Raw genomic sequence first — 27911 nt, forward strand, 5'->3', positions numbered from 1 at the left:
AAGCATACTCTTGAATGATAACTCTGAAGTCATTCAAAACTAAGTTTAATGAATAGGGTGTATGATAAAACATTTTATAAAATCTAGAATAAGAAACAAAAAAACTTTTTTTCTTGCATGGTTTGTAAACTAGTACCAGGATCATCCCAAATATCATGGGCTACTAAACTGGTTTGAGTAGTTTATTGAAATAAATGTATTTGCTTCCAAAAATGACCATTTAAAAGATAACACTTATTTGGATATTTGTACTGATACATGTTTTTTGTTTGTTTGTTTGTTTTTTGTTTCTTTGTTTGGGGTTTTTGTTTGTTTCTTTTTCAAGATGGAGTCTCGCTCTGTCGCCCAGGCTGGAGTGCAGTGGCACGATCTCGGCTCACTGAAAGCTCCACCTCCTGGGTTCACGTCGTTCTCCTGCCTCAGCCTCCCAAGTAGCTGGGACTACAGGTGCCCGCCATCACGCCCGGCTAATTTTTTTGTATTTTTAGTAGAGACGGGGTTTCACCATGTTAGCCAGGATGGTCTTGATCTCCTGACCTTGTGATCTGCCTGCCTCAGCCTCCCAAAATGCTGGGATTACAGGCGTGAGCCACCGTGCCCGGCTGATACATGTGTTTTGAGAGCACACAATGACATGACTTTATGACCATACTTCATTCAGCAGTTCTTCATTCATTTTTTATAAATTTATGCATCGACAATTATTTATTACACTCCAGTCTGGCTGACAGAGTAAGACTCTGTCTCAAAAAAAGTAAAATAAAAAATATTCATTGTCTGTGTTAGGCACTGGGCTACACAATAGGGAAGGCAGTATATAGATATGACTGAGCTTACCATCTGGGGAAGCAAACATATTTAATAACACAAATTATTAATTGTAATTATGATAAATTGCCACCAAATGAAAGTTTTGGGGCCAGGCAAGTCTTCCCTGAAAAAATGATACTAAAATAATATCTGAAGAATGATTGGAAGTTAGCTGGGAAAGACATAGGTAAAGGGTAGTCCAGGCAGGGCCGAGCACGGTGGCTCATGCCTGTAATCGAAGCAGTTTGGGAGGCCGAGGTGGGCAGATTGCCTGAGCTCAGGAGCTTGAGACCACCCTGGGCAACATGGTGAAACCCAATCTCTACTAAAATACAAAAAATTAGCTTGGTATGGTGGCGCGTACTTGTAATCCTAGCTACTCAGGAAGCTGAGGTGCGAGAATCACTTGGGCCCCAGAGGCGGAGGTTGCAGTGAGCCAAGATCTGCCACTGCACTCTAGCTTGGGCTACAGAGTGAGACGCCAACTCAAAAAAAAAAAAAAAAAAAAAATTCCAGGCAGAAGGAAAGCAGGTGCAAGAGTCCTGAAACAAGAAGGAGTTGGATATCTCCTAGGAACTAGTTGGAGAGCAGGAGTGGGCCACGTGTTATATAAAGATGGGGAGGTACGTGGTGCAGGCCCTGCAAGACAGGTTGAGGATTTCAGTTTTAATCCTAAGAGTAGTGGGAAGCTAGTGGTATGATCAGATTTGTTTTTGCAAAGATCACTCTGATTTCAATGAATTAGAGGAGGATGAGATATAGGAGGATACCAGGAAGAGGCTACAAGAAAAATGTGGAAGGAGGGGGAGCCTTTGGGTTCAATTTTTGAAGAATTGTTTTGAGTGTTGGAAAGCCAATGGGAAATGTCAAGAAAGCAGTTGGATAATCAGATTTGGACCTTTCTTTTCTAAGCAGATATCTACTGCTGTGCTCAATAAAAATATAAAACAAGCCAAATTTTAAATTTTCAAAGAGCTACATTTTAGAAAGTAGAAGAAAAGAGGTGAAATTAATTTTAATAATATAATTTATGTGGCCCAATGCATCCAAAATATTACCTCAACATTTCATCAAAATAAATAATTGTTGGCTGGGCGCGGTGGCTCACACTTGTAATCCCAGCACTTTGGGAGGCTGAGGTGGGTGGATCACGAGGTCAGGAGTTCAAGACCAGCCTGGCCAACATAGTGAAATCCCGTCTCTACTAAAAATACAAAAAAAATTAGCCGGGCGTGGTGGTAGGCACCTATAGTCCCAACTACTTGGGAGGCTGAGGCAGGAGAATCCCTTGAACCTGGGAGGTGAAGGTTGCAGTGAGCCAAGATCACGCCACTACACTCTAGCCTGGGTGACAGAGCAAGACTCTGTCTCAAAAAAAAAAAAATTTCGTTTTTGTTTTGTTTTGTTTTGTTTGTTTTTTGAGACGGAGTTTCGCTCTGTAGCACAGGCTGGAGTGCAGTGGTGCGATCTCAGCTCACTACAACCTCTGCCTCTCGGGTTCAAGCAATTCTCCTGCCTCAGCCTCCTGAGTAGCTGGGACTACAGGCACGTGCCACCATGCCCAGCTAATTTTTGTATTTAGTAGAGACGGGGTTTCACCTTGTTGGCCAGGATGGTCTCCATCTCTTGACCTCATGATCTGCCCACCTTGGCCTCCCAAAGTGTTGGGATTACAGGCATGAGCCACCACCATGCCCGGCCAAAAAAAAATTGTTAATGAGATATGTTACATTCTTTTTTCATACTATCTTCAAATTTTAACTTATGGCATATCTCAATTCCAACTAGTCACATTTCAAGTGCTCAATTGCCAGCTATTTGTTACCCTGGTTAAATAGCACAGGCCTAGATTAAAGCTATGTCTCTGATGGCATTGATTGACTGAAGCCTTAGAAATGGATGAGGTCATCTAGGATGGGGTTATAAAATGAGAAGAGAGTCAAGGTCCAAGTCCTGAGAAGCTCTATCATTTAAAGCAGGGGTCCCCAACCCCCAGGCCATGGACCAGTACAGCAGGAGGTGAGGAACACGCGAGCGAGCAAAGCTTCATCTGTATTTACAGTTGCTCCCCATCGCCCACATTACTGCCTGAGCTCCATCTCCTGTCAGATCAGTGGCAGCATTAGATTCTTATAGGACCGCGAACCCTATTGTGAACTGCACATATGTAGGATCGGGATTGCGTGCTCCTTGTGAGAATCTAATGCCGGATGATCTGTCACTGTCTCCCGTTACCCCCGTATGGGACTGTCTAGTTGCAGGAAAACAAGCTCAGGCCTCCTATTGATTCTACATTATGGTGAGTTGTGTAATTATTTCATTATGTATTACAATGTAATAAAAATAGAAATAAGGTAGTTCACAATAAGTGTAATGCACTTGAATCATCCCAAAACCATTTCCCCCTCCTCACCACCTCTGGGTCTGTGGAAAAATTGTCCTCCAAGAAACTGGTCCCTGGTGTCAAAAAGGTTGGAGACCACTGATTTAAAGGGTGAATAGGGAAAGAATTCCTCCTAAGGCATAATGATAACATTATTTAGTGCTTTGCAGTTATAAATCATTTCCACATGCATTTCCATTTTTTCTTCCCGTGAATACTGTGAAGAATAGAAGGTTATCCCCATTTTTTTTTTTTTTTTTTGAGACGGAGTTTTGCTCTTGTTGCCCAGGCTGGAGCGCAGTGGCATGATCTCGGCTCACCGCAATCTCTGCCTCCCAGGTTCAAGCAATTCTCCTGCCTCAGCCTGCTGAGTAGCTAGGATTATAGGCACACGCCACCACACCCGGCTAATTTTTGTATTTTTACTAGAGACGGGGTTTCTCCATGTTGGTCAGGCTGGTCTTGAACTCCCGACCTCAGTTGATCTGCCCGCCTCGGCCTCCCAAAGTGCTGGGATTACAGGCATGAGCCATCGCACCTGGCCATGCCCATTTTATAGATAACAAAATCAAAGCCTTAGATGTTCTCTCACCCAAGGCAGAGGGGGAGCTAAAACTAGAATCCAGTTTTCTGATCCAAAGACTAATGTTCTTTCCATTTGTCTTAGTGAGTTTTTCCAAACAGCACATCCTATTAACAGAAATTGCATGCAGGATGTTTATTTTGGGAAGTGATTCCAAGGAAACAAGGAAGAAGGGAAAGAGAGAGTTAGGAGCAAATTACCACATTGGGCCACTGAGGCTTGATCCTCCCAGGGACCCTCTCAAGAGCTGTGGAGAGTGAACTTTAGAATTGTCTGCCCTGGGGATTTATCCCCTGGTTCTCATTATCTGTTGGTCAAGGGTTGCTCCCATCTGGTGTTAAGTCCCTGTCACTTCCAGGTTTGCACGTGTGTCAGAGGGGTCATGTGGGTACCACAGGTGACAACTTAGGCAGCAGGAGAGAAGCTGCTGGGCAGAAATAGAGAGATAAGGAGATACTGCTGGGGCTGGAGTAAAAAGTTGGCCAAGATGTAAAATGGTCACAAGAGGTATCTGAAGTATCATTGCACCTCCTGATTTTTGTGGAGGTGAGGGTTCTTCGTACAAATAATTTCAATATAATAGAGATATATTCATGCAGAGACAGTGCTATGGAAGCCCAGAGAAAGAAGCTGCTAATTGTGCCTGTTTACATGGAGGCTTCACAGAGAAGGTAGCCTTGGAGCTGAGTCTTAAGTGCTATGGCTTGAATGTTTGATCCCTCCAAAACTCATGTTGAAACTTAATCCCCAGTATAATAGTATTAAGAGGCAGGGCCTTTAAGAGGTGGTGGGTCATGAGGGCTCTGACCTCATGAATGGATTAATCCATTCATGGATAAATGGATTGAGTTATCACAGGGTGGGTTAGTTATTATTAGAGTAGGTCTGTATTAAAAGCTAGTTTGGCTCTCAGTATGCCCCCTTTGCCATGTGATGCCCTGTGCCACCTCGGGACTCTGCAGAGAGTCCCCACCAGCAAGAAGGCCCTCCTGAGATGTTGCCTCTTGACCTTGGACTTCATAGCTTCTAGAACTGTAAGAAATACATTTATTTTTTAAATAAATTACCCAGTATCAAGTATTCAGTGATAGCAACAGAGAATGGACTAAGACAAATGGTAAGGAGTTTTCTAGAAAGTGGGATAGGACATGTTCCAGACAAAGATTATATCATGTGTTGAAGAGTGACAGCTTGAAATCATATGCAATCCCTGGGGAATCAGCAGCTCAGTATGGTTAGATTGTTGAATATGGGGGCAGGAAGGAGAGGTGGAAGAGGAGGTCCAAGTCTGAGCTTAGTATTTTTGGCTTAAAAGTGGGCATCTCATCCATTAAACTGCAGTGGTGTTCAAGCTTGGATCCATGTTAGAAGCACCTGAGGAGCTTTTCAAAAATATGGCTGGGCCCCATCTCAGGTCAATTAAATCATCTTTGGAGGTTACAGTTAAATAAAAATGGTTCAAAATATTGTAGATCACCGGGCGTGGTGGCTCACTCCTGTAATCCCAGCATTTTGGGAGGCTGAGGCCGGCAGATCACTTGAGGTCAGGAGTTCGACACCAGCCTGGCCAACATGGTGAACTGTCTCTACTAAAAATACAAAAATTAGCTGGGCATGTTGTCAGGTACCTGTAATCCCAGCTACTCGGGAGGCTGAGGCAGGAGAATTGCTTGAACCCAGGAGGCAGAGGTTGCAGTGAGCTGAGATCACGCCACTGTACTCCAGCCTGGGCAACAGAGCGAGACTCTGTCTCAAAAAAAAGAAAAAAAAGCCCAGGGACTGATACGTTCTAAAATCTTCCATGTGATTCTAATGAGTAGTTTTGATTGAAGACCACTGCTTTGAAGGGTTTCATACAAGGAAGTGATGCCCAGATTTGTGTTCCCAAGATTCCTTTTGGCTGGAGAGCAGATTAGAGGAGAGACCAGTTAGCATGCTCCTGCCATGGTCTAGGCAAGGCAGGCGAGGCCAGAATTAAGGCATTGTCTGTGGGGTAAGGGGAGGGGATAATGTGAAAGACACTTGGGTTGACCAGATCTTTGTGACAAAATTCCTTTGAGGACCTTTTAAGATTAAGATGGAACAGGTACCTTGGGACGGTTAATGCTGAGAGAAAACTCCGAATGCTTCTGTTTAAAGAGGGTGGTGGCCACAAGCCTCTGTTGGTGCAACTTCATACATGGAAAGACTTTCAGCTGTCCTGTACTCACTTCCTCTGATTTGTCATCCCTGTCCTCTTGCAGGGATCATTATTCTGCCTGCCTAGAGTACAACACAACATGGGCCATGGACTCACATTGCCTTGGGTTTGAATCTTCGCTGTGCTCTTAGGGTCACAGGAGTTAACCTCTCTAAGCCTTAGTTTCTCCACTTGTATGATGGAACTGATGCTTCTTCTCTTGTAAGATTACTGTGAGAATTCAGTGGGATAAAGTACATGCAAATATGAGTCCAGAGCAGAAGGCCTGGCCCACTGCAGACACTCAGTGATTGATAACTCATGTCTTATCATTTTTGCAGCTTACCTGCCTTAGTGACAAATTGACAGTTATCTTTATTTTATTCCCACTGTTCCCCATCTGACTTGCCCTTGTCTAGCCCATTTCAGGTCAGCCCACCCATGCTGATGATCCAGTCTTGTCATCTTCCTGCCTGACCTAGTTTGGGTTCAGCCCTGCTGGGGAGATAGTGCCCTCATGCCTGGGCCACATGTGGCATAACACAGCAAGAACTCTTTATTGTTCTGAAATGTTTACTTGCCCAGCTACCTAAAAGGTTATAAGCACATTGAGGACAGGGAATGGATTTCATTTGTCTTTGTTTGCATTTTATTTATTCATTGACTCCATTCATTCATTTAACAAATAGCCATTGAATATCAACTCTATTGTAGGCCCTGGCATATATTAGTGAGCAAGATGGGCAAATTTATTATACCCTTGTTTTGAACTTATAGTATAATGAGGGAGATAATCATTAATCAAATAATCATAAAATAAATGTTAAATTACAGCCAGCACAACATCTGATTTGGGTAGTTGCTCCAGAGAAGTTTGCTGACTCTGAATAGAGAAAGCACCTTGAACAGATAAAACCGTTCCCTCCTTGTATGTGAAGAACCCAGGACCAACCTGGTAGCCAGGCAGTGTCAGTGAGGGAAGCAGACCTCTGCCTCAGAGTTCTCTAGAGATCCTAGTTCCCCACTCTTACCCTCAGAGCCTTCTCAGTTTGAACCTCCAGAGTGCAGGGCCTCAGAAGCTACATGTGTTAGCAGGCATCCTGGGGTGTTCTCATGCCACTGAAGTCTGTGAACCACTGCCTGTGAGACACAATGAGAACTTAAAAAAAAATAGCCTTAATGAACTGAAGAGTCATTAGCTGTACCCAAGACTCCCCCTGGGAAAGTACCTTTGTTCTGGTGGACCTAGGTGGGGCGGTAGCTTTGACGTCTGCTTGGTTCCCCACTTCCTTGTCTACTCGTAACTGAACACTGGCAGTTAGTGGTTGTCAGATATTCTTTTAGCACAAACATTCCACATTTTGGCACACACTGAGTCTCTGTCACACAAGCACCAGACTGACCCAATGCCAAACAACTAGCCTTCATTAAACGCTGCCTCTTCTGTGAATGCAGGCTCAGGGACCAGACCACTTTGATTTTAATCCCAGATATGCTACTTTCTAGCCGAGACTTTGGGCAAGAAATTCTCTCTATGCCTCCCCTTATATGTAAAATCAAGATAGTAACAGTACCTACTTAGAATATGGTTGTGAGAATTAAATGGAATAATACAAGTGACTTAATTGTCAGAGCGATGAGCACATCAGAGGTCCTCAATGGAGACTACCTGCTTTAATGAAGATATGTCCTATGGAAGGCCCTTAGCTATTAGTGTATTATGGTCACTGAACCAGTACTCTGCAGGATTTCCAGCTTCTGTTAAAGGGTAATGACCTTTCCTCATGCATCTGCTTTTTCAAAATGAACAAAAGTGCTGTTCTTAGATAAGCATTTGTGATTTTATCTTTTTATGGAGACTTTGGAAAGATTTGCTCTGATTTCCAACCTCGAATACTCTTGGAAAATATCTGTATTATTTTTACTCTATTGGATTTTAATGTGTGTTTTAGAAAACAACATCTGCAGATAGATGGTGTTGCACAACAATGTGAATATCCTTAATACCACAAAACTGCACTTAAAAATGGTTACAATGGTAACTTTTATGTTATGTGTGTTTTACAGCAATTAAAAAATAAGACAATAACAGAACTGTGGTTTGTATTAAAGATCTAGTAACTCTAATTAAAGAAAAAGGAAAGGAAGAAAATGGTCTCTAAATGTTTATAGGCCCTACTAGCATCTCTGTAGCTAATCTGGTTTGTTTATAGAGTACTAGAGTCTTACTCAAAATTATAAGCTTTGTTTATAAACCCAAGCTCACTGAGACAGACTGATGAGGCTGCTGAAGTTACCATTAAAGCTACAGGAACTTTTAAGAAAGTTTTTGAAGACACACTGTGTCTGAAGGGACCATGAAAAGTTAATGATCATACTTGCCTGTGTTACCAGATGTCTTAGTCTGTTTTGTGTGGCTGTAACAGAATGTGACAAACTTGGTAATTTATAATATAAAGAACAGAAATTACTTTTCTCACAGTTCTGGAGGCCAAGAAGCCCAAGATCAAGGTGCTGGCAGGCTTGGTGTCTGGTAAGGGCCTGGTCTCTGCTTCCAAGATGATGCCTTGAACTCTGCATCCTCTGGAGGGAGGAATGCTGTTCCTCACAATGGCAAAAGAGTAGGAGATAGCAAACTCACTCCCCAAACCCCATTTAATTGTGGCATTAATCCATTTAAGAGGGCAGAGTACTTGAATACCTAAATACCTCCCACTAGGGCTCACCTCCTGATGCTGATGCATTGGTGATGAAGTTTTCAACACATGAGTTTTGGAGGGGAAAACAGTCAAACCACAGCATCTGTCTTATGAGCTTTTTGGGGATGGTGTAGGACAACTCCAGTGGTACTACTTTATATTAGACAATGAATATTAACCTCTTTTAGGGCTGGAAGGAATTTAGGAACCATCCAGTTCCAACCCCCTCATTTATCCATTTGATTCAATAATGATCTGTTGAATTCTTTCTCTGTGCCTAATGTATAGTAGGATATACCATCGTGGATGCTGTATATACTGTGGTAAACAAAGTAGACCTGCCCTCATGTAGCTTACAATCTAATAATAAAGATAGATATTAATCAAATAGCTGCATAAATATGTAATTACACCATGTGGCCAGTACCGTCTTTAGAGGGAAAATACAGGCATTCTGATCAGGAGGGTAGGATCTAAACTCAGGAGGTCAGAGAAGGCTGAGATGTCAAGTGAAGGGCTTTCTCGGTAAAGGCCCTGGAGCAGAAACCATGAGACCTATGGGCAACTGCAAGCAGGCCAGTTCCACCAGAGGTGTTTTCTGAATGAGAAGAGGGTGAAATATTCTACTTCTGTGGAGCCAGGAAGCAGGCTGTCTGATGCTCTAGTTTCTCTTTCTTTCTGCTTCTAAATAGACTTACCCAGAAGCCTGGTACTATGACATTTGTGTAGGTAGAATTGTTTCCATCCTAAGGAGATATCTGCCCCATATCTATACGGCCTCCAGTCTCAGTGAGCTTAGGGTCTGTTGCGCCTACATTTCCAGGTCTTCACCAAGGCCCCTGCATTGGTGTTTCCATGAACCAAGCAAGGTCACTTCTACTGTTCCTCTTTCTGGACCAGCACTTCTATCCATGCAACCTAGCTCATGAAGATCGGTTATGATCTTCATGTGATCACTGCACTCCAGCCTGGGTGACAGAGCGAGACTCCGTCTCAAAAAAAAAAAAATTTAAAAATTTAATTTATTTTTAGACTCATGGGGCACATGTGCATATTTGTTTCATGGGTATATTGCATGATGCTGAGGTTTGGGCTTCTAATGATCCTGTCACCCAAGTAGTGAACATAGAACCTGACAGGTAGTTTTTCAACCTTTGACCTCCTCCCCACCTCCCCTCTTTTGGAATCCCTAGTGTTTATTGTTCCCGTCTTTGTGTTCATGTGTACCCAACGTTTAGCTTCCACTTATAAGAATATGCAGTATTTGGTTTTCTGTTCCTGTGTTAATTCGCTTAGGGTAGTGGCCTCCAGCTGCATTCATGTTGCTGCAAAGGACATGATTTCATTCTTTTTTATGGCTGCATAGTATTCCATGGTGCATATGTACCACATTTTCTTTATACAATTCATCATTGATGGACACCTGGGTTGATTCTATGTCTTTGCTATTATGAATAGTGCTGTGATAAATATACAAGTGCAGGTGTCTTTTTGGTGGAATAATTTGTTTTCCTTTGGGTATATACCTAGTAATGGGATTGCTGGGTCAAATGGCAATTCTATTTTTAGTTCTTTGAGAAATCTCTAACCTTCTTTTCACAGGGCTGAATAAATTTGCATTCCCACCAACAGTGTGTAAGCATTCTCTTGTATGCACAATCTTGCCAGCATCTGTTATTTTCTGACTTCTTAATAGCCATTCTGACTGGTATAAGATGGTATCTCATTGTGGTTTTAACATTCATCTCTCTGATGACCAGTGATGATGAGCATTTTTTCAAAAGTGTATTGGCCACTTGTATGTCTTCTCTTGAGAAGTGTCTATTTATGTCTTTGACCCACTTTTTGTGTGTTTACTCTGTCACTGGTTTTTTTTGCTGTGCAGAAGCTCTTTAGTTTAATTAGGTCCCAATTGTCACTTTTTGTTTTAACTGCATTTGCTTTTGAGGACTTAGTCATAAATTCTTTCCTGAGGCCAATGTCTGGAAGGGTATTTCCTAGGTTTCTTTTATGACTTTTATAGTTTGAGGGTCTTACAGTTATGTGTTTATTCTACCTTGAGTTAATTTTTGTATATTGTGAGAGGTAGGGGTGTAGTTTCATACTTCTACATATGGTTAGCCAGTTTTCCAACCACCATTTATTAAATAGGAAGTCCTTTTCCCATTGTTTATTTTTGTCAGCTTTGTCAAAGATCAGTTGGCTGTAAGTGTATGGCTTTATTTCAGGGTCTCTATTCTGTTCCATTGATCTATGTATCTATTTCTGTACCAGTACCATGCTGTTTTAGTTATCATAGCTTTGTGGTTTAAAGTTAGGTTATGTGATGCCTCTGGCTTTATCCTTTTTGCTTAGGATTGCCTTGGCTATTTGGGCTCTTTTTTGGTCTGTATGAATTTTAGAGTAGATTTTTTTCTAATTCTTTGATTTCTTTGGGCAATACGACGCATTCAAAAAAGACTTGGAAGGAAATAAATAAAAATAAAAGTGATATCTAATTAGTAGAATCTTAAACATCTTTTTTTACTTCATTTTATAAGTGATATTTAAGAAACTTTTAGTACTCTTAAAATAGAAAATAATATTGAAATGATCCCGAGGGAGTGTCAGATCTCTTCCTTACCACCTAAATCTTACTGCTTTCTTTAAAGGATATACTCATAGGGACTTTTGGAAATATTTAAATATAAGCTACAGAGAAATGTTGGGTTTCTCCACTGCCAGACTTTGAGGCATTCACTAGCTAATGGACTTTTGAGCCCAGGAGGCAGAGAGAACATGAACATTCTCCAGACTTCTGGGAAGCTTTATTTACTGAAGCCCCTGTAGGCCTCGTACTCTCTGGAACATGCATTGGAAAATGCTGGTGTGGTGGAAAGAGAACAAAACGTTGTGGCTACCTGGGCTCTGATGGATGTTGTAACAAAGAAAGGCAAGCTCCCCAAATGCTCAAATTGAACTTTCAGTCAAGCTTTATCTGTCTCTCAAGCAGCAAACAATGCCAGTTTTTTATTCTGCAAGCCATTTTAGAAGACAAAATGTTTGGCACAGTTGCACAGGTTAGCATGCTAGTGTACTGTGTACACAAGATGAAATGTCTTCAATTTGTGTTAAAATATGCTTTACCCCCTTCTCAAACACTTGTCAAATGAAACGTAGTAAAAGTTTTTGTTTCTCAACTACCTCACTGTGTAAGTAAGGCCTTAGAGAAAACAAGCTGACAGAAGCAAGCCTGGTTCTTTGGCTCTATGGGAAGAATGACTTTCGTATCAACAATGTTAGAATAAAATCTGATCCCAGATAAATGCTGCTTGCTGCTTCTACCTCACCAGTTTCTGTCGTATGCTGCTGTGGTTGGAACATTTTCTGGCAGGAAGAAATCAGGGGCTCTGTTAGGAAACAACAGAATTTTCTGCCATGTGTAATTCCTGAGCCTCTTTCTCCACTCTGGGAGGTTTCTCAAGGGTCCAGTGGCCCCAGACCTTAGTCAGTGTTCCTCTCTGCCCACAATGGCCACCACCTAAGCCATTTCTTGGATTCCTTTCACTGCAAGCCTAGCTGCAGAGGAGTCTGTCCAGCTTGCTTCCTTGCTGTGCCCAAAGCCAGCATACAGGCCCTTTTCTTTCTAAAGGCATAATGCTAATTACTGGAGGGAATCCCCACTGTGTGTAACTAGGAAGAGAACACTGTGGAGGTTATGGCAGGTCAAGGGTCCTTGCAAGGTCTGCACGGTGGTACTCCCTGGTCTAGTGAAATGGAGTAGAGTTTGACACTCAATAGGCTCTACTTTTAGCTTTTCCTAGTGGTCCAGGGAGGTCTCTTAAATCCTATTTCTTGTCTTCTTTTCTCCCTGGAGTCTCTTAGATTCATAGCAGATGATATATATACCCATTGCCACCTACATTTTCAGGTCTTCACTGGGGCCCCTACATTGGTGTCTCCATGAACCAAACAAGGTCATTTCTACTGTTCCTCTTTCCAGACCACTGCTTCTGTTCATGCAACCTAGCTTATATATGTAGGGAGATTCACACACACACACACACACACACACACCACACACCCACACACACCCACACACACAGCTAAATTAAGCATTTTTAAAGTGGCAGACCATACTTTGAGGTCTGCAGCTTAAATAAGCAGCCACGTGACAAGCGTCTCCTTCTTCTCTTCCTTTCGCTTCCCCATTTACTTCCCTCTATGTTTCTTCTCTAAGGAAGATTTAAAAGCACATGTGCCATCATGCTCTTCTCCCAAGTTCATATCAGATGTCATTAATCAATCATGGAATTTTTTAATCCTGAGTAAGCCCAGAGATATAACCAAAGATGACTATCAGTTGATCAAAATGGGCATTGAGCAGTTTACTCCTGGATAGATACCCCCAAAGAAATGAGAGCTTATTTCAACAAAATGAAATGCATATGAATGTTTCTGGCAGCTATATTTCCAGTAGCCCCAAACTGGAAATAACCCGAATGTCCATCAACAGTTGAATGGATAAAAATATAGTATATCCATATAATGAAATACTTTGCAGTGATGGAAAAAGATGAACTACTGATACACACAGTTTGAGTTCATCTTACATAGTGTAAAGTGAAAGAAGTTAGACATAAAGGAGGCATACTATGTGAGTTCATACATTGCAGTTCAAAAACAGGCAGAACTCATACATGGTGGTAGAAGTTAAGACAGTGGTAACTGACTGAGAGGGGCACTGGGAAGCCTTATGAGGGCTAGAATGTGTTCTGTATCTTGATCTGGGTGGTGGTTATATGGATGTGCACATATGCAAAAATTTATTGAGGTGTATGCCTAGTATTTGCACACTTTACTGTAGCTACCCCTCATTTAATGTCCTTAAAAGGGGGCACCAATTTGAAAATTATTGCCCAGCCCTTGCTTCTATGTTTCTGTGTATAGTTTCTGTTTCTAGTTCTTTCTCCTGCTGTCATCTGTCCTTCTTCTCCTCTGCTGACTTTCTTTCCTCCTTTTTTTCTTCTTTTCATCTCCCCCTACTCGTAAAGCTAAAAACATGAAGTTTAAGTACATATATTGTAAAATATATTAAATACAATTTTACAGTTATATTCATAATTTAAAAGTGAGTGTATTTAGTGTTTTTACACCTCTCCTTAAAACAAACTCTGCATTTATTGAACTAAAATTAGATGAACATATTTATTACGTCTTACTGGCATTCAATGGAGTAACTCAGTGGTTCCCAAACTTATCTGCACATTAGAATCATGTGGGACCTTATAAAAATTCCAAAGCCCAGGACACAATACCACATCAATTAGATCACAATACCTGGGTCTAGGACACAAGCATCAGTAGCCATTGAAGCTTTCCAGGTGATTCCCGTATGATTCCAATGTGTAGACAAGTTTGGGGACTATAGATTAATGGCTTTCTATTCCTTCCATAGTGTCTCAGCTACTTCAGCATGTGGTTCTGAATCTTGGCTGCACATTAGAATCACCTAAGAAGCTTCTAAACAATACTGCTTCTTGGGCCCTGTTCTGCATAAGGTCTGAATATTTCTAACATGCAAACAGCATGAAGAGCCCCGTTCTAGCAGGGTTGTTGTCCTGGTAGATCTTGTGATCGGAGTGACTCCAGTGCCATCCCCTCAATGTTCCTCTCAAATACTTTCTCCTCATGTTTTTGAAAATTCCAGTCCTTTCTTTTGCAAGCCTAATATGGAGATGAGTGATGTGATACTGATAAGTTTTTGGTCTGTGTTGCTTTCAGTATGGGATTGTGCTGGATGCGGGTTCTTCTCACACAAGTTTATACATCTATAAGTGGCCAGCAGAAAAGGAGAATGACACAGGCGTGGTGCATCAAGTAGAAGAATGCAGGGTTAAAGGTAAGATGAAGACCAAGGGAAGGGGAGGCCAACAGTGGGGCATGAGAACATGAGAGGTGTATGACCAGTAGAACACAAGAGAAAAAGGAGTCCCACGCATAGGAAGCCAAGTGAAGAAAACAGTGCAGCTGCTGTTGTTATGTTATCGTTACAGAAAACATATTGAAATCAGTCGTTAATGATCAAAACCTAAGAATAAACACACATAAATATAATTAATAGTAGCTCCCATCAACAGAACACTTCTGCATGCTATGTACTTAGTACTGAACATGTGTTACTTCAGTATACCCTCATAATCTCCCTTTGAGGTATGCATTATTATACTAATTTTTTAAAAATGAGGGCACTGAGGTTGAGAGAGGTTATACCACTTGTTTGTTACTCAAGCTAGTAAGTGATGGAGCTGCGGTTCAAACCAAGTTCTGCCCGACTTCAAGTCTGCATCTTAGCCAGTGCTTCTCAAACTTGCATGAGCTTGTTAAAAACACAGATGATGGGTCCCATCCCCTAGAGTTTCTGAGTCAGCAGATCTGGAATGAAGCCTGATAATCTGTATTTCTAAGAAGTTCCTAGGTGATGCTAATCTGTCTGGTTCAGAGATTTATTGCTCTCTTAATCTTTGTACCCTGATCTACAGCTTGGAAGACATTTTTCAAAGCTTTCAGCTTCTGTGTAGGCAGGAAAGACCAAATTATAGGCTCTTAGGGCTGGGAAAAGGAACTTACAGATCGTTTAAATTTTGTTTCACAGAGAAGGAAACAAAAACCTGGAGGATTAGTGCCTTGAAAGTAGCAACAGAATAGAGACAAGAATCTAGGTCTCCTAATTACACTCTAGGTTTCCTGCTACTCTGAGCTGCTGCATTATATATCAATAATTTTTTTCTTTTAAGGTCATAATATGTTAGAGTGGTTGACATTCAGCTTTCAATCCCTTTACCCAGTACCCTACCATGCACCATTATACCACAGTCTCTCTGACTTTTATCTCTCTTAGCCTTTTGAGCTGGGAACCCACTGTTTATTTTTAGTCAGACTGATAGCCTAGATCCTAGAAGATAATTGATTTTCAGTTTGACAGCCTGTGGAATCCACTAATTTTCACAGGTCGTCAAGAAAGTAGTAGAGAGGAGATATTTCCAAGAGAGCAAGTCATTCTACCCAGTAGCCCCATCAATACTGACACTTTGGCCCCATCTGAGACAGTACTTCTGGCCTTTCTTAAAGCCCAAATCCCTCATTTTATTGGCTTTTATTTGACACACTGCCTTCCATTTTTAAAAGTTATTTTAATGGCCAAGCACGGTGGCTCATGCCTGTAATCCCAGCACTTTGGGAGGCTGAGGTGGGCGGATCACAAGGTCAGGAGATGGAGACCATCCTGGCTAACACGGTGAAACCCTGTATCTACTAAAAATACAAAAAAATTAGCTAGGCATGGTGGTGCGTGCCTGTAGTCCCAGCTACTAGGGTGGCTGAGGCAGGAGAATCACTTGAACCCGGGAGGCGGAGGTTGCAGTTAGCCGAGATCGCGCCACTACACTCCAGCCTGGGCGACAGAGCAAGACTCCGTCTCAAAAAAAAAAATCTAGCAGATGTCCTTCTTCTGAGACTTATCCCATGAGCGTTTGGCCTAACAATGAAGGATTCTTCCCTCTCAAAAGAGAGAGTTCTCTAGTTAATCAAATATTTAACACCAAATTTTCTGAATCAAAACAATTAGCTGGTAACTTAGAGCTGATTTTCTCATGGTTATTAGGCTGTTTGAAAACCTGTGAATGATCTGGATAACTTATTTGAATAATTATCCTTAAAGCAATTACTCTGCTATGAAGCACTGATAGTGTAGATATTTATCTTAATGTGAGATGAAAGTGTTGTTATAACTTCAAAAAGCTTAAGGAATCTTGGCTCTAATCCTCCATAGCAACAGTCGGTTTTGCTCTAAAACTGGAAAAACAGTTTTGCTAGGGAGGCAGGATATCGGAGTGGAAAAGTCACTGAAGAGACATAGATTCTGTTCCTCTTTCTTGTAACAGGAAGCAACTCCACCTCAGAAACTTTAAGGTGCTGGCCAGGATCAGATAACTAGTTAGTGGCAGCTTCCATCTTTTTAGTAAAAGCCAATTTGTCTGACGCTTAATTTTTATTCCAAGTGTTATCTTTAGGTCTTTTAGGAACTAGTGTCATTAATTACAGTGTTCTGGAGGAAATATCAAAAAGCAGCTAACAGAGTAGCTATCTATAATATCCCCATTAAAGTCTGAGAATGTTATGCAATTGAATATGAAATTGCGCCATCCAGTGGCAGAATTATTGAACACTGAACAGACCCAACTTAAAGTCTGGAAATTAAATCCTCTCAAGGCTAGGTCCAGTGAATTACCCTCTAAGTACAATAACCTAATGTATAGTACATCAGGAAATTGTTTTCTTGTATTTTTTTCAAAACACCATATTTTGATCTACTATTGTCAAGGTATGTTTTATAATTTTTTTTTAAAAGATTGTTATCTTCTACATTTTTTCCTAGGTCCTGGAATCTCAAAATTTGTTCAGAAAGTAAATGAAATAGGCATTTACCTGACTGATTGCATGGAAAGAGCTAGGGAAGTGATTCCAAGGTCCCAGCACCAAGAGACACCCGTTTACCTGGGAGCCACGGCAGGCATGCGGTTGCTCAGGTATAGCAGCATGTAGGGACCAAGAGTATCTGGGAGTTAGGCTTGGCAGTGAAAGAGCCTCTGAAGTTATGGGAAAGGGCCACACTCCCTAATACCCCAAGTTCTACACACCCAAGTCCATACTTAAGAAAGGATATTTTAGTAAGTGAATAAAATGTTCAAACTCTTAGTATATATAGGGGTAGGATTTTATGTATGTTAAAAAAAAAAGCCCCCTTGTGCATCTCCCTATGGGGGATTCAAAGGGGAAGGGGCACAGGGAGAGAAAGACTGGGCCCGTATACTCTGGGGTTTGGGGCTACAGATTTAACTATTCAATATCTGGGAGGAAGAGGATAAGAGGAGACTCATAGACATCCCAGGTCATAAATATTCACAACTAGCACATCTTTATATCACTTGATACCTGTGTGAATTATTTGTTCACTTGTTCATTCATTCAGCATATAGTGCCTGCTCTATCCAGAATATGAAAACTCAACCCTCAAGGAAATCAGTTTCAATGCAGGGTGATCAGTGTTTTAATAGAGGAGTGCTCAGAGCTGCTATGGGAGCACATTTGGCCCTGCCCAGGGTGAGAGGAGGTCAGGAAGACTTAGAGGAAGGGATGCCTGAACTGAATCATGAAAAATGAGTTGGAGGATCGGGGAACAGCTTTATCAGCAGAACAGACAGCATGCATTCAGTAACTGATGTTTATTCAGCACCTATTATATGTCAGGCACTGTTCTAAGTACTGAGGATACAACAGTGAACAGGACAAAGTCTCTGACTTCATGGAGCTTGTGTTCTACCGGATGTGCAAAGGTAGGGAAGTGTGAGAGGCATATTCAGAGGACTGTAAGTAGTTCTGCATAGATAGAAGATAGGTAAGTAGTGTAAAATAATAATGATAATAATAGTAGCAGCTCGTATTTATTGAGCCCGTCCTATGTTCTTAGCACTACGCTAAGCACTTAATTGCACTGTCATAACAACTCTATGAAATTAACAATTATTAACAAGATAAGGAAGCTGTGGCTTACAAATGTTAAGTAACTCACCCAAGGTCACACACCTGGGAAGTGGTGGAGCCAGGATTCTGAGTGGGATTCTGAAAAGGAAGGGTCCAGGTCACAAAGTGCCCTATGGGGCCATGCTAGGAAGTTTGGAGTTTATCTTAGAGATAGTAGGAAGCCATTAAAGGATGCTACACAACTGGTGACACTGGTAGAGAAGATGGATTGGAGGGGAGAAAAGCTGGGGATAAAAGGAAGGCAGTTAGTAGGTGTGGACGCCATTTAGATGAGAGATGACAGGGGCCTAATGCCAGCTGGAAGGTAGCATCCTCTCGCTCAGAGACTCCCAGTGTTGGGTAGCCTAGATCTTGGAAGCAATTGCATCCCATCTTCATTAAGACAACCCTGGAAGATTCCTTCTTTAGGTCTCAAGGTCTCAAACAGACCCAAGAACTGAGCTGTAATATGAGGAAGATTTTTCCCAGTCTGGCAGCAGAGGAGATTGGATATCTATTCCAGGTCATTTGCCACCTGGTTTCTACTAGAACCCTAATTAAAAACCTGGAGCAGAGTCTGGCCATGTAACCAGCTAGGAGCCACCCACAGTGGTTAATATAGCACACATCAGCTTCAGGTATGGTCATCAAACCATACCCAGCTATCACCACCACAGTAATTTTAAGAGCCTTTGATAACTTTTTGAGCCAGGGAACTTCAGAACAAAAGTGGTATTTTAAGGAAAACCAACCTATGAAAGGATTGGAAGGATGTGGATTTGGAGAGAGATGAACAAAATATTAATTCTGCCTCATCCAAAAAAGGGGTTTCTTGGACAGCTATGTGCGAAGATCCCCATCTCTTCATTTATTCCAGGGCATTATGGTTCACTTCTTAGTAGCACTGTGTGGATGCTGTAGCTGAAATGGGTAATGTAATATAATTATTAAAACAAAAATGATAACCTCAGCTCTTCCTTTGTACAGGATGGAAAGTGAAGAGTTGGCAGACAGGGTTCTGGATGTGGTGGAGAGGAGCCTCAGCAACTACCCCTTTGACTTCCAGGGTGCCAGGATCATTACTGGCCAAGAGGAAGGTGCCTATGGCTGGATTACTATCAACTATCTGCTGGGCAAATTCAGTCAGGTGAATATCTCACAGCATCCATGGAGGTGGCTCTCTGGAGGCCAATGCCATTGCTATCTCAGGCAGTACTTGGGTCGCTAGCCAGAATGAATGAATGAATGATAGATGGATGGATGGATGGATGACTGGATGAATGAATTTACTCTCACATTTGTAAGGGTCACCAGAGGTATAATTCTCTTACAAGACCTTCTACTATTGGGAGAATAAGGACATGTCTTTACCTTAGGGAGGCATAAAGGAAATTAAAAATTTATCATTAAAAATTAGAATAGCTAACATTTGCCTTCTGCTATGTGTCTCCCGCTGTGCTCAGCACTTTTCATGTTTTCTCTGATTTTATCCTTAGAACAACACTATGAGGTACTACATCATCCCCATTTTAGAGCCCCATATCGATGCCTAGAGAGGGTAATTAGTCTGCCCATGGCTGTACAGCTAACAAGCGACTGAGTGAGAATTTGAACTTGAATGTGTCTGGCCTCAGACCTCTTGTTTTTAAACACCAGTTACACTGCTTCTATGTCCGGCAGTCTGAGCTATGTCTTTGAAGCCCCTCTTTTCTTGCTGATAATCTGTTGTAGATCAGGAGCCTCTAGTGAGCTTTGCCTCACCTTTATGCCCCTGTTTCTTTGCCTTAGGAAATCCCTGACTCCAATAGATACTATGAAAAGCAGGGTGTCCAGAGACTTCTAGCACTGGTAACTGTACTGTCTTTCAGAAAACAAGGTGGTTCAGCATAGTCCCATATGAAACCAATAATCAGGAAACCTTTGGAGCTTTGGACCTTGGGGGAGCCTCTACACAAGTCACTTTTGTACCCCAAAACCAGACTATCGAGTCCCCAGATAATGCTCTGCAATTTCGCCTCTATGGCAAGGACTACAATGTCTACACACATAGCTTCTTGTGCTATGGGAAGGATCAGGCACTCTGGCAGAAACTGGCCAAGGACATTCAGGCAAGTATAACTCAATCCAGACCTGCCCCCTTCACATCTGCACCTCCAGCCCCCACATCCTGTTGTTTTCTGTTTCAAATTCAGTAGTTTGTCTGAACTTGGTTATTGTACTTTCCAAACCTTTTTAGGCAGGATATTGAACTACATCTGGTTGACCCCTATAAATTGTTTCAGTCAGACATCCCCTCCCATGTTTGTTTACTGCGTTATCTCCACAGACACAACTGAGATCTTCTCTCAGGAAATAATTTCTCCCCCTCGTGGGGTTGATAATGAAAATTATGTGGTAGAATATTGTTTGTTGGAGGGGGAATTGCAATTTATAAGCTCTTTTAGACCACTTTTTAAAGCTCCCTTTCCTACAAACTACAAAAAAACAGAGTTGTTAGAAATGACCTGGAGAGGAGAAGGAAAAAAAAAAAAACACTTCAGGAGAAACACAAAATGTATCAATTGACACTTCAAATCTTGTCATCTTGTCCCCAGATGCCTTCTGCATTTTGAAGACAAGAAAAGTTAAACACACTTTGGGAGGCTGAGGTGGGTGGATCACTTGAGGTCAGGAGTTGGAGACCAGCCTGGCCAACATGGTGAAACCCCATCTCTACTAAAAATACAAAAAAAGAAAAAAAATTAGCTGGGCATGGTGGCACATACCTGTAATCCCAGCTACTTGGGAGGCTGAGAAAGGAGAATCACTTGAACTGGGAGGTGGAGGTTGCAGTGAGCCGAGATTGTGCCACTACACTCCAGCCTGGGCCACAGAGCGAGACTCCATCTCAAAAAGAAAAAAAAGAAAAGAAAAAGAAAAAGAAAACAAAAGTTAAACATACTCAACATCATGTGAGTACCAGGCACACCCTGACAAGCAAACACAAAGCCAGGATGTCATATCCAGCTGTTCCCTGTCTCCACTGAAAGGATAACAAGTTCTCTGCTCTCCTCCAAAGCATTCTCTCTGGTTTTCAAAACCACTACCAATAAGATGGTCCTGGGAGTAGGGGGCGCTGAGAGACATCCACTGAGCCTCAAAGCTCCACTAACCTTCTTATCCACAGCAGCCTCCTTTCTTCCCTAGTAGGTTGTGGGTTAGAAATTACTTTTTTTTGGGCCAGGCGTGGTGGCTCACACCTGTAATCCCAGCACTTTGGGAGGCCGAGGCGGGTGGATCACTTGAGGTCCGGAGTTCGAGACCAGCCTGACCAACATGGCGACACCCCGTCTCTACTAAAAATACAAAAAATTAGCCGGGTGTGGTGGCACACACCTGTAATTCCAGCTACTAAGGAGTCTGAGGCAGGAGAATCGCTTGAACCTGGGAGGCTGAGGTTGCAGTGAGCTGAGATTGCGCCATTTTACTCCAGCCTGGGCGACAGAGCAAGACTCCATCTCAAAAAAAAAAATTATTTTTCTTGGATAGGAGAATGCTTGAAGAAGAAAAAAAATTTTTTTAATAATTTTTAAATTATGTAGGCTCCTGGAGAACTACTCCCAGGCCCAAATTTTTGACAACCTTGAGAGTTTCCTTGTGAATTTGCTCCTGACCTAGATGATTAGGACTAAGCACTCAGGGACATTTCAAACTAATGGCATTTCTGGGCCCAGTTTTAACTACATCAGCATTCTTTGACTAGCCAAATACATTTATATCTGATACCACTTCTGGTGCCTGTTACACAAATCCATTTTTCATATTTATTCCTAAGGGTAAAAAGGCAGGGCAGGACATATTGATTCCAATACCAAGTGGTGGGATGTTGTACAGTGCCTACATATTGATTAAGTCAGACTGTACCTTTTGTATCCAAAGCGTTCACACATGATGCTTTCAAGTGATTTTTCCATTCAGGTTGCAAGTAATGAAATTCTCAGGGACCCATGCTTTCATCCTGGATATAAGAAGGTAGTGAACGTAAGTGACCTTTACAAGACCCCCTGCACCAAGAGATTTGAGATGACTCTTCCATTCCAGCAGTTTGAAATCCAGGGTATTGGAAACTATCAACAATGCCATCAAAGCATCCTGGAGCTCTTCAACACCAGTTACTGCCCTTACTCCCAGTGTGCCTTCAATGGGATTTTCTTGCCACCACTCCAGGGGGATTTTGGGGTAAGTTTGTGAAATGATGAGGTATAGGATGTCTTGTTTACAAGTTATAGAATATGTGCCTACAAAAGATTTAAATAATAGGATGCATTTTTCTCTTACATAATGTCTTGAGGTAGATGATTAGGGGTTGGTTCTTCAGCTCAACTATGTCAGAACTTGGGATCAGTTTTTTCCACTATCGTTGTGATCTTTTTGTGCTAAGGTATGTTACTGCTCCAAGCACCATATCACTAGGTCACTGCCTCCTTTTTGGCTCTAGGCAGCACCTTAAGCCCAGGTTCATCTCCTTTCTAGTCAACAATAAGAGTACTGCCTTTCCGGAATGGGGGAGGTCCCAAAGAGGTTAGCCCCAGCAGTGTGGGAAAACTGACTAGGGGGTTGTGCCCAGGGGACCTTGTGGGACAGACCTCCTACAGCCATAGAACAGCCACTCTGATTTGGCATCTCCTTTGGCCAAGTGACAGAGCAGACTTCCCAGGGCTGGGGATGCTAAATCTGCCTCTTCCTTGTCTCTGCCTGTCCCCAGGGATATCTCCCTTCAGGATGTCACGATGCTTACTGTGGGTTAAGACAAAGACAGGTTTCCTGCTAGGGAACCCAGGATGATGGGGAAGCTGATTGTCCACCTTGATCTCACTTTTTCCAGTGTACAAATTGTGAGTTTGGGGGAAATTTTCCACAAGCTTGGTGTCAGGCAGAATCGGGGGAGAGGTGACATGGATGTGGAAGTTTGATTATCTTCCCGTCTGCTTGGAGTTTTTTCACTTCTTTGTGGCCCCAGGAACTGTCTCATCTTCATATTTGATTTCTGGGATATTGCTGGTGATAATCTCAGTGCTGTACATTTGTTTCTGGTTGTCTGTGGTTGGGGGGCATGAAGCCAGCTTGCTTCCATGCCGCCATTTTGGAATCAGACATCCAAGCATCATATTTTCTTTCACATGCAAAGCCAAAGCAGGAAAGATGTTTAAGGTTTTCCTTGCACACATCTCTTGCACACACATTTTGCAGAAGTGCCAACTGACATCTTTTCAGATCCTGCTGGCCAGAACTTGGTGAAATATATACTCTAAACCAATCTGTGATAAAGAGAAATGGATTAATATAGTTAGTTTAGACTAATTATTGTTTATCACCTGAGGAGTCGTTTTTGAGGATATTGCTTTCCTCTACTTGGGTAAAATCAGGACTTCATAAGCGAGGAAGAAGGGGGCTAGCTATGGGGTATGTGCCTGTTAGAGTTTGCCATAGGTGGCTTCTCAAATGTTAGAAGGAGGAGGAGCAGCAGTTAGATGACACAGCTGAGGGTTTTCCTCTATAAAGACATTTAGGAAGTAGAAACTCAGGAAATCCCAAAGAAACATTGAAGATAACATCATTGTCATTATGTTTTGAAGAGTTGGGGGATTATTTGAATCCTAGCTCCAAATTCCTTATTTTCTTAATAACTCCAGAATAAGATAAAATATTTGAGCAGAGGCAGAAGAGATGGCTCTTAATTGACTCAGTCTTCAAATTTCTTATTTTGGTCCCAGAGGCTGAGCATTATTATAATCATAGTTTAGTAGCATATTGAAAAATTAGCTACCATCTGTCAAATGCCAATTATTGACTATGCACTATATGTATATTATCTCATTTATTCATTCAAGATATTCAAAGAAACAAGGCTTTTGCCTGCCTTCATGCTTTCTCCCTTTTCAGAAAACAGATCAGCATGTAAGAAGGGAGGTTCAGCTCCTCCCCTCCAGGACCCCAGCAAGAGAGTTTCTCCTAAGGTCACCTGGCTTGGCCCAAGACAAAGCTCTAGAAGAGAACATAGGCACTGTCGTAATCAGATCTGATTCTACTTCTGGCTTCTTATGAACTGTATGAGCTCTTCATTTTCTTGGTCTCTGAGAAAACAATAGGTAATGCCATAGATCCAGACTTACCTTAACCATGGTCCAAACCACAGTCTACCCTCCCCTCAAGGTTCCTGAGGGAAATACATGACAAGACAATGACTGGCAGAGTAATATTTGGTTATTAGTTGGCTGCAAACCCAAATTCAGAAGAAACTGAACCTCACTTGAATGCCCTGTGGCTGAGCTGGCACTGGCTCTTCACCTTGGACTTTTTTTTGGGCCAGGGCCCTTGCCTTAGATTGAACTCCTTGAAGAGGAAGGAGGGTGCCACCTTGGCCAAGGGCCTTTTTCATTCCAGTCACTGCGAGGATGTAAATCTAAAGTCAATGAACATACCCTTGTGTCTTGAGTTTGTAACTTCTCAGAAAGTTTCACTTCCTGGGAAACATGGCCAATTCCTGCCTTCAAGCTTGAGCAAACCTTTCCTCCTTAGGGGACTGAAATTTCTTGCCTTTGAATGTGATTCATCCAACCAAAGCAGGGAGAGATAGGGGCTGGAAAAGGGTGGAGGAGTCTTGAACTCCCCCTGGAGGCTTTTCTATTTGATCCCTTAGTTCCTCATTGAGATTGTTCTCCCAGCCTTCTGAACCTCAGTTTGGCAGTTCCTGAGACTATCGCATTGCCTGCCTCTATGTAGGATCTTTCTCCTCTAGATACAGCCCTCAGGGTCAGGACTGTCCTGTCCCGATTTCTGCATTGGCAGTTTCATTCTGCTTCAGATTTTTGATGTTTTTTGTTTTGTTTTGTTTTATGCCCTCTGTAATGTATCCCTAAGACCTAAAGTTTTTTTGTCTGTTTCCTCATCTGTACAATGGGGACAGTAATATCTACCTCATTGATAGTTGTGAGTCAGACAAGCAGTGATGGTCTGGGAAATGTCCAACAACCAACTCTCGGGGAATGGGGAGCTGATTTGTAGCACTTACCAGTTTCCATGGTGTAAGTAGTTCTACCACAGCCTATTTCAAGCTATATCAACATATCAACTGGCTCACAAAAATCTGGAAATTTTAAGAATCAGCTCTTGTGAGTACATAAGAAAGAGTCAGCTCCAGCACACCACTGTAAATAGCAAAAAGCGGGCATACCCCAGCACCACCCTTAAAAAGGTTAGGTCTTTATCCTAGCAGTCTTCATTCTATGCTGTCCTTCCTGCAGGGAGTTCCTGTTATCGAGTCCTGCCTCTTGAAGCATAGCTATGTGCAACACAGAAATCCAGTTTCATTCCCATTCTTTCCAGAACTAGTTAGCCTGGGTGTTCTCAAGCCACAGAGAATTTGTTGGGGAGGGAGTTTTTGCCACAGTTGCATTCAGCACTGATGATCTGATTCTTAGTTGGTAAATATGGTATTAAAAATTGTCATTGCTTTAGTCAGTCTGGCTACACTGTAGCCTTGGTTGCTAAACAGAATCCAATGTTGTGGGCAAATTAGAAACACTAACAAGAAAGAGGGAACATCTGTAGGGAATTACTTATGAGGTAATTTAGAAATTATTTTTAAAGATCACATTGTGCTGTTTATATAAATAAGAAAGGGAAGAAACAAGTTCAATAGGAAACTGGAATTAAAGAACATTAAAAACACATTTGTTTACATATGTATACATAAATGTGTGTATATTTATATTTATATTTATTTATATTTATATTTTTGTTGGTACAAAAGTAATTGTGGTTTCAGACCATGAATTTTATTTTTTTAATTTTTTTTGAAAAGTACTAAATATATAAATATTCACAAGTTCAACAAAGGAGAGAAAATAACACCAATAAAATCCCCAAAAACTTAACAATACATTAATCTAGGTTGGATGATCTTTTTTTTTTAATTATACTTTAAGTTCTAGGGTACATGTACACAACATGCAGGTTTGTTAGATATGTATACATACGCCATGTTGGTGTGCTGCACCCATTAACTCGTCATTTACATTAGGTATATCTCCTAATGCTATCCCTCCCCCCTCCCCCCACCCCACGACAGTCCCCGGTGTGTGATGTTCCCCTTCCTGTGTCCATGTGTTCTCATTGTTCAATTCCCACCTATGAGTGAGAACATGCAGTGTTTGTTTTTTTGTCCCTGCGATAGTTTGCTGAGAATGATGGTTTCCAGCTCCATCCATGTCCCTGCAAAGGACATGAACTCATCATTTTTTATGGCTGCATAGTATTCCATGGTGTATATGTGCCACATTTTCTTAATCCAGTCTATCATTGATTGACATTTGGGTTGGTTCCAAGTCTTTGCTATTGTGAATAGTGCCGCAGTAAACATACGTGTGCATGTGTCTTTATAGCAGCATGATTTATAATCCTTTGGGTATATACCCAGTAATGGGATGGCTGGGTCAAATGGTATTTCTAGTTCTAGATCCTTGAGGAATCGCCACACTGTCTTCCATAATGGTTGAACTAGTTTACAGTCCCACCAACAGTGTAAAAGTGTTCCTATTTCTCCACATCCTCTCCAGCACCTGTCGTTTCCTGACTTTTTAATGATTGCCATTCTAACTGGTGTGAGATGGTATCTCATTGTGGTTTTGATTTGCATTTCTCTGATGGCCAGTGATGATGAGCATTTTTTCATGTATCTGTTGGCTGCAAAAATGTCTTCTTTTGAGAAGTGTCTATTCAGGTCCTTCGCCCACTTTGTGATGGGGTTGTTTGTTTTTTTCTTGTAAATTTGTTTGAGTTCATTTTAGATTCTGGATATTAGCCCTTTGTCAGATGATTAGGTTGCAAAAATTTTCTCCCATTCTGTAGGTTGCCTGTTCACTCTGATGGTAGTTTCTTTTGCTGTGCAGAAGCTCTTTAGTTTAATTAGATCCCATTTGTCAATTTTGGCTTTTGTTGCCATTGCTTTTGGTGTATTAGACATGAAGTCTTTGCCCATGCCCATGTCCTGAATAGTATTGCCTAGGTTTTCTTCTAGGGTTTTTATGGTTTTGGGTCTAACATGTAAGTCTTTAATCCATCTTGAATTAATTTTTGTCTAAGGTGTAAGGAAGGGATCCAGTTTCAGCTTTCTACGTATGGCTAGCCAGTTTTCCCAGCACCATTTATTAAATAGGGAATCCTTTCCCCATTGTTTGTTTTTGTCAGGTTTGTCAAAGATCGGATAGTTGTAGATATGTGGCATTATTTCTGAGGGCTCTGTTCTGTTCCATTGGTCTGTATCTCTGTTTTGGTACCAGTATCATGCTGTTTTGGTTACTGTAGCCTTGTAGTATAGTTTGAAGTCAGGTAGCGTGATGCCTTCAGCTTTGTTCTTTTGGCTTAGGATTGACTTGGCAATGCAGGCTCTTTTTTGGTTCCATATGAACTTTAAAGTATTTTTTTCCAATTCTGTGAAGAAAGTTATTGGTAGCTTGATGGGGATGGCATTGAATCTATAAATTACCTTGGGCAGTATGGCCATTTTCATGACATTGATTCTTCCTACCCATGAGCATGAAATGTTCTTCCATTTGTTTGTATCCTCTTTTATTTCATTGAGCAGTGGTTTGTAGTTCTCCTTGAAGAGGTCCTTCACATCCCTTGTAAGTTGGACTCCCAGGTATTTTATTCTCT

At 41.7% G+C, this 27911-nt stretch overlaps 1 protein-coding gene and 1 long non-coding RNA gene across 33 annotated transcripts in view, besides 4 other annotated features; one reads left to right on the forward strand and one right to left on the reverse strand.

Annotated features, from left to right (window-relative positions):
* The window catches only part of ENTPD1 (ectonucleoside triphosphate diphosphohydrolase 1), a 183082-nt gene that overhangs the window by 131089 nt on the left and 24082 nt on the right, over positions 1 to 27911 (forward strand). For 23 of the 32 annotated variants that reach the window (NM_001440933.1, XM_047426024.1, XM_011540371.3 and 20 more), the window contains 5 exons: positions 14418 to 14535; positions 17071 to 17221; positions 19203 to 19362; positions 20084 to 20323; positions 22173 to 22433. In NM_001440933.1, the coding sequence (NP_001427862.1) occupies positions 14418 to 14535; positions 17071 to 17221; positions 19203 to 19362; positions 20084 to 20323; positions 22173 to 22433 (930 nt within the window). Of the gene's footprint in view, positions 1 to 14417; positions 14536 to 17070; positions 17222 to 19202; positions 19363 to 20083; positions 20324 to 20809; positions 21464 to 22172; positions 22434 to 24137; positions 26192 to 27911 lie in introns of those variants that run through there. The other 9 variants (NM_001440936.1, NM_001164179.2, NM_001440941.1 and 6 more) reach the window with 7 other exon arrangements.
* The window catches only part of ENTPD1-AS1 (ENTPD1 antisense RNA 1), a 337030-nt gene that overhangs the window by 72068 nt on the left and 237051 nt on the right, over positions 1 to 27911 (reverse strand). Inside the window, exon 4 of the long non-coding RNA NR_038444.1 lies at positions 22119 to 22212. This is a non-coding gene — a long non-coding RNA (ENTPD1 antisense RNA 1). The remainder of the gene's footprint in view (positions 1 to 22118; positions 22213 to 27911) is intronic.
* Positions 6183 to 6242: an enhancer, noted in NCBI's record as "active region_3808". NCBI's record gives its function as "activates an Ori minimal core promoter by ATAC-STARR-seq in GM12878 lymphoblastoid cells {active_cell/tissue: GM12878}" and the evidence as "EXISTENCE:reporter gene assay evidence [ECO:0000049][PMID:35858748]".
* Positions 7408 to 7647: an enhancer, noted in NCBI's record as "active region_3809". NCBI's record gives its function as "activates an Ori minimal core promoter by ATAC-STARR-seq in GM12878 lymphoblastoid cells {active_cell/tissue: GM12878}" and the evidence as "EXISTENCE:reporter gene assay evidence [ECO:0000049][PMID:35858748]".
* Positions 9139 to 9228: an enhancer, noted in NCBI's record as "active region_3810". NCBI's record gives its function as "activates an Ori minimal core promoter by ATAC-STARR-seq in GM12878 lymphoblastoid cells {active_cell/tissue: GM12878}" and the evidence as "EXISTENCE:reporter gene assay evidence [ECO:0000049][PMID:35858748]".
* Positions 16636 to 16775: an enhancer, noted in NCBI's record as "active region_3811". NCBI's record gives its function as "activates an Ori minimal core promoter by ATAC-STARR-seq in GM12878 lymphoblastoid cells {active_cell/tissue: GM12878}" and the evidence as "EXISTENCE:reporter gene assay evidence [ECO:0000049][PMID:35858748]".

The sequence above is a fragment of the Homo sapiens genome, chromosome 10 (assembly GCF_000001405.40).
Source record: "Homo sapiens chromosome 10, GRCh38.p14 Primary Assembly".
Lineage (NCBI taxonomy): Eukaryota > Metazoa > Chordata > Mammalia > Primates > Hominidae > Homo > Homo sapiens.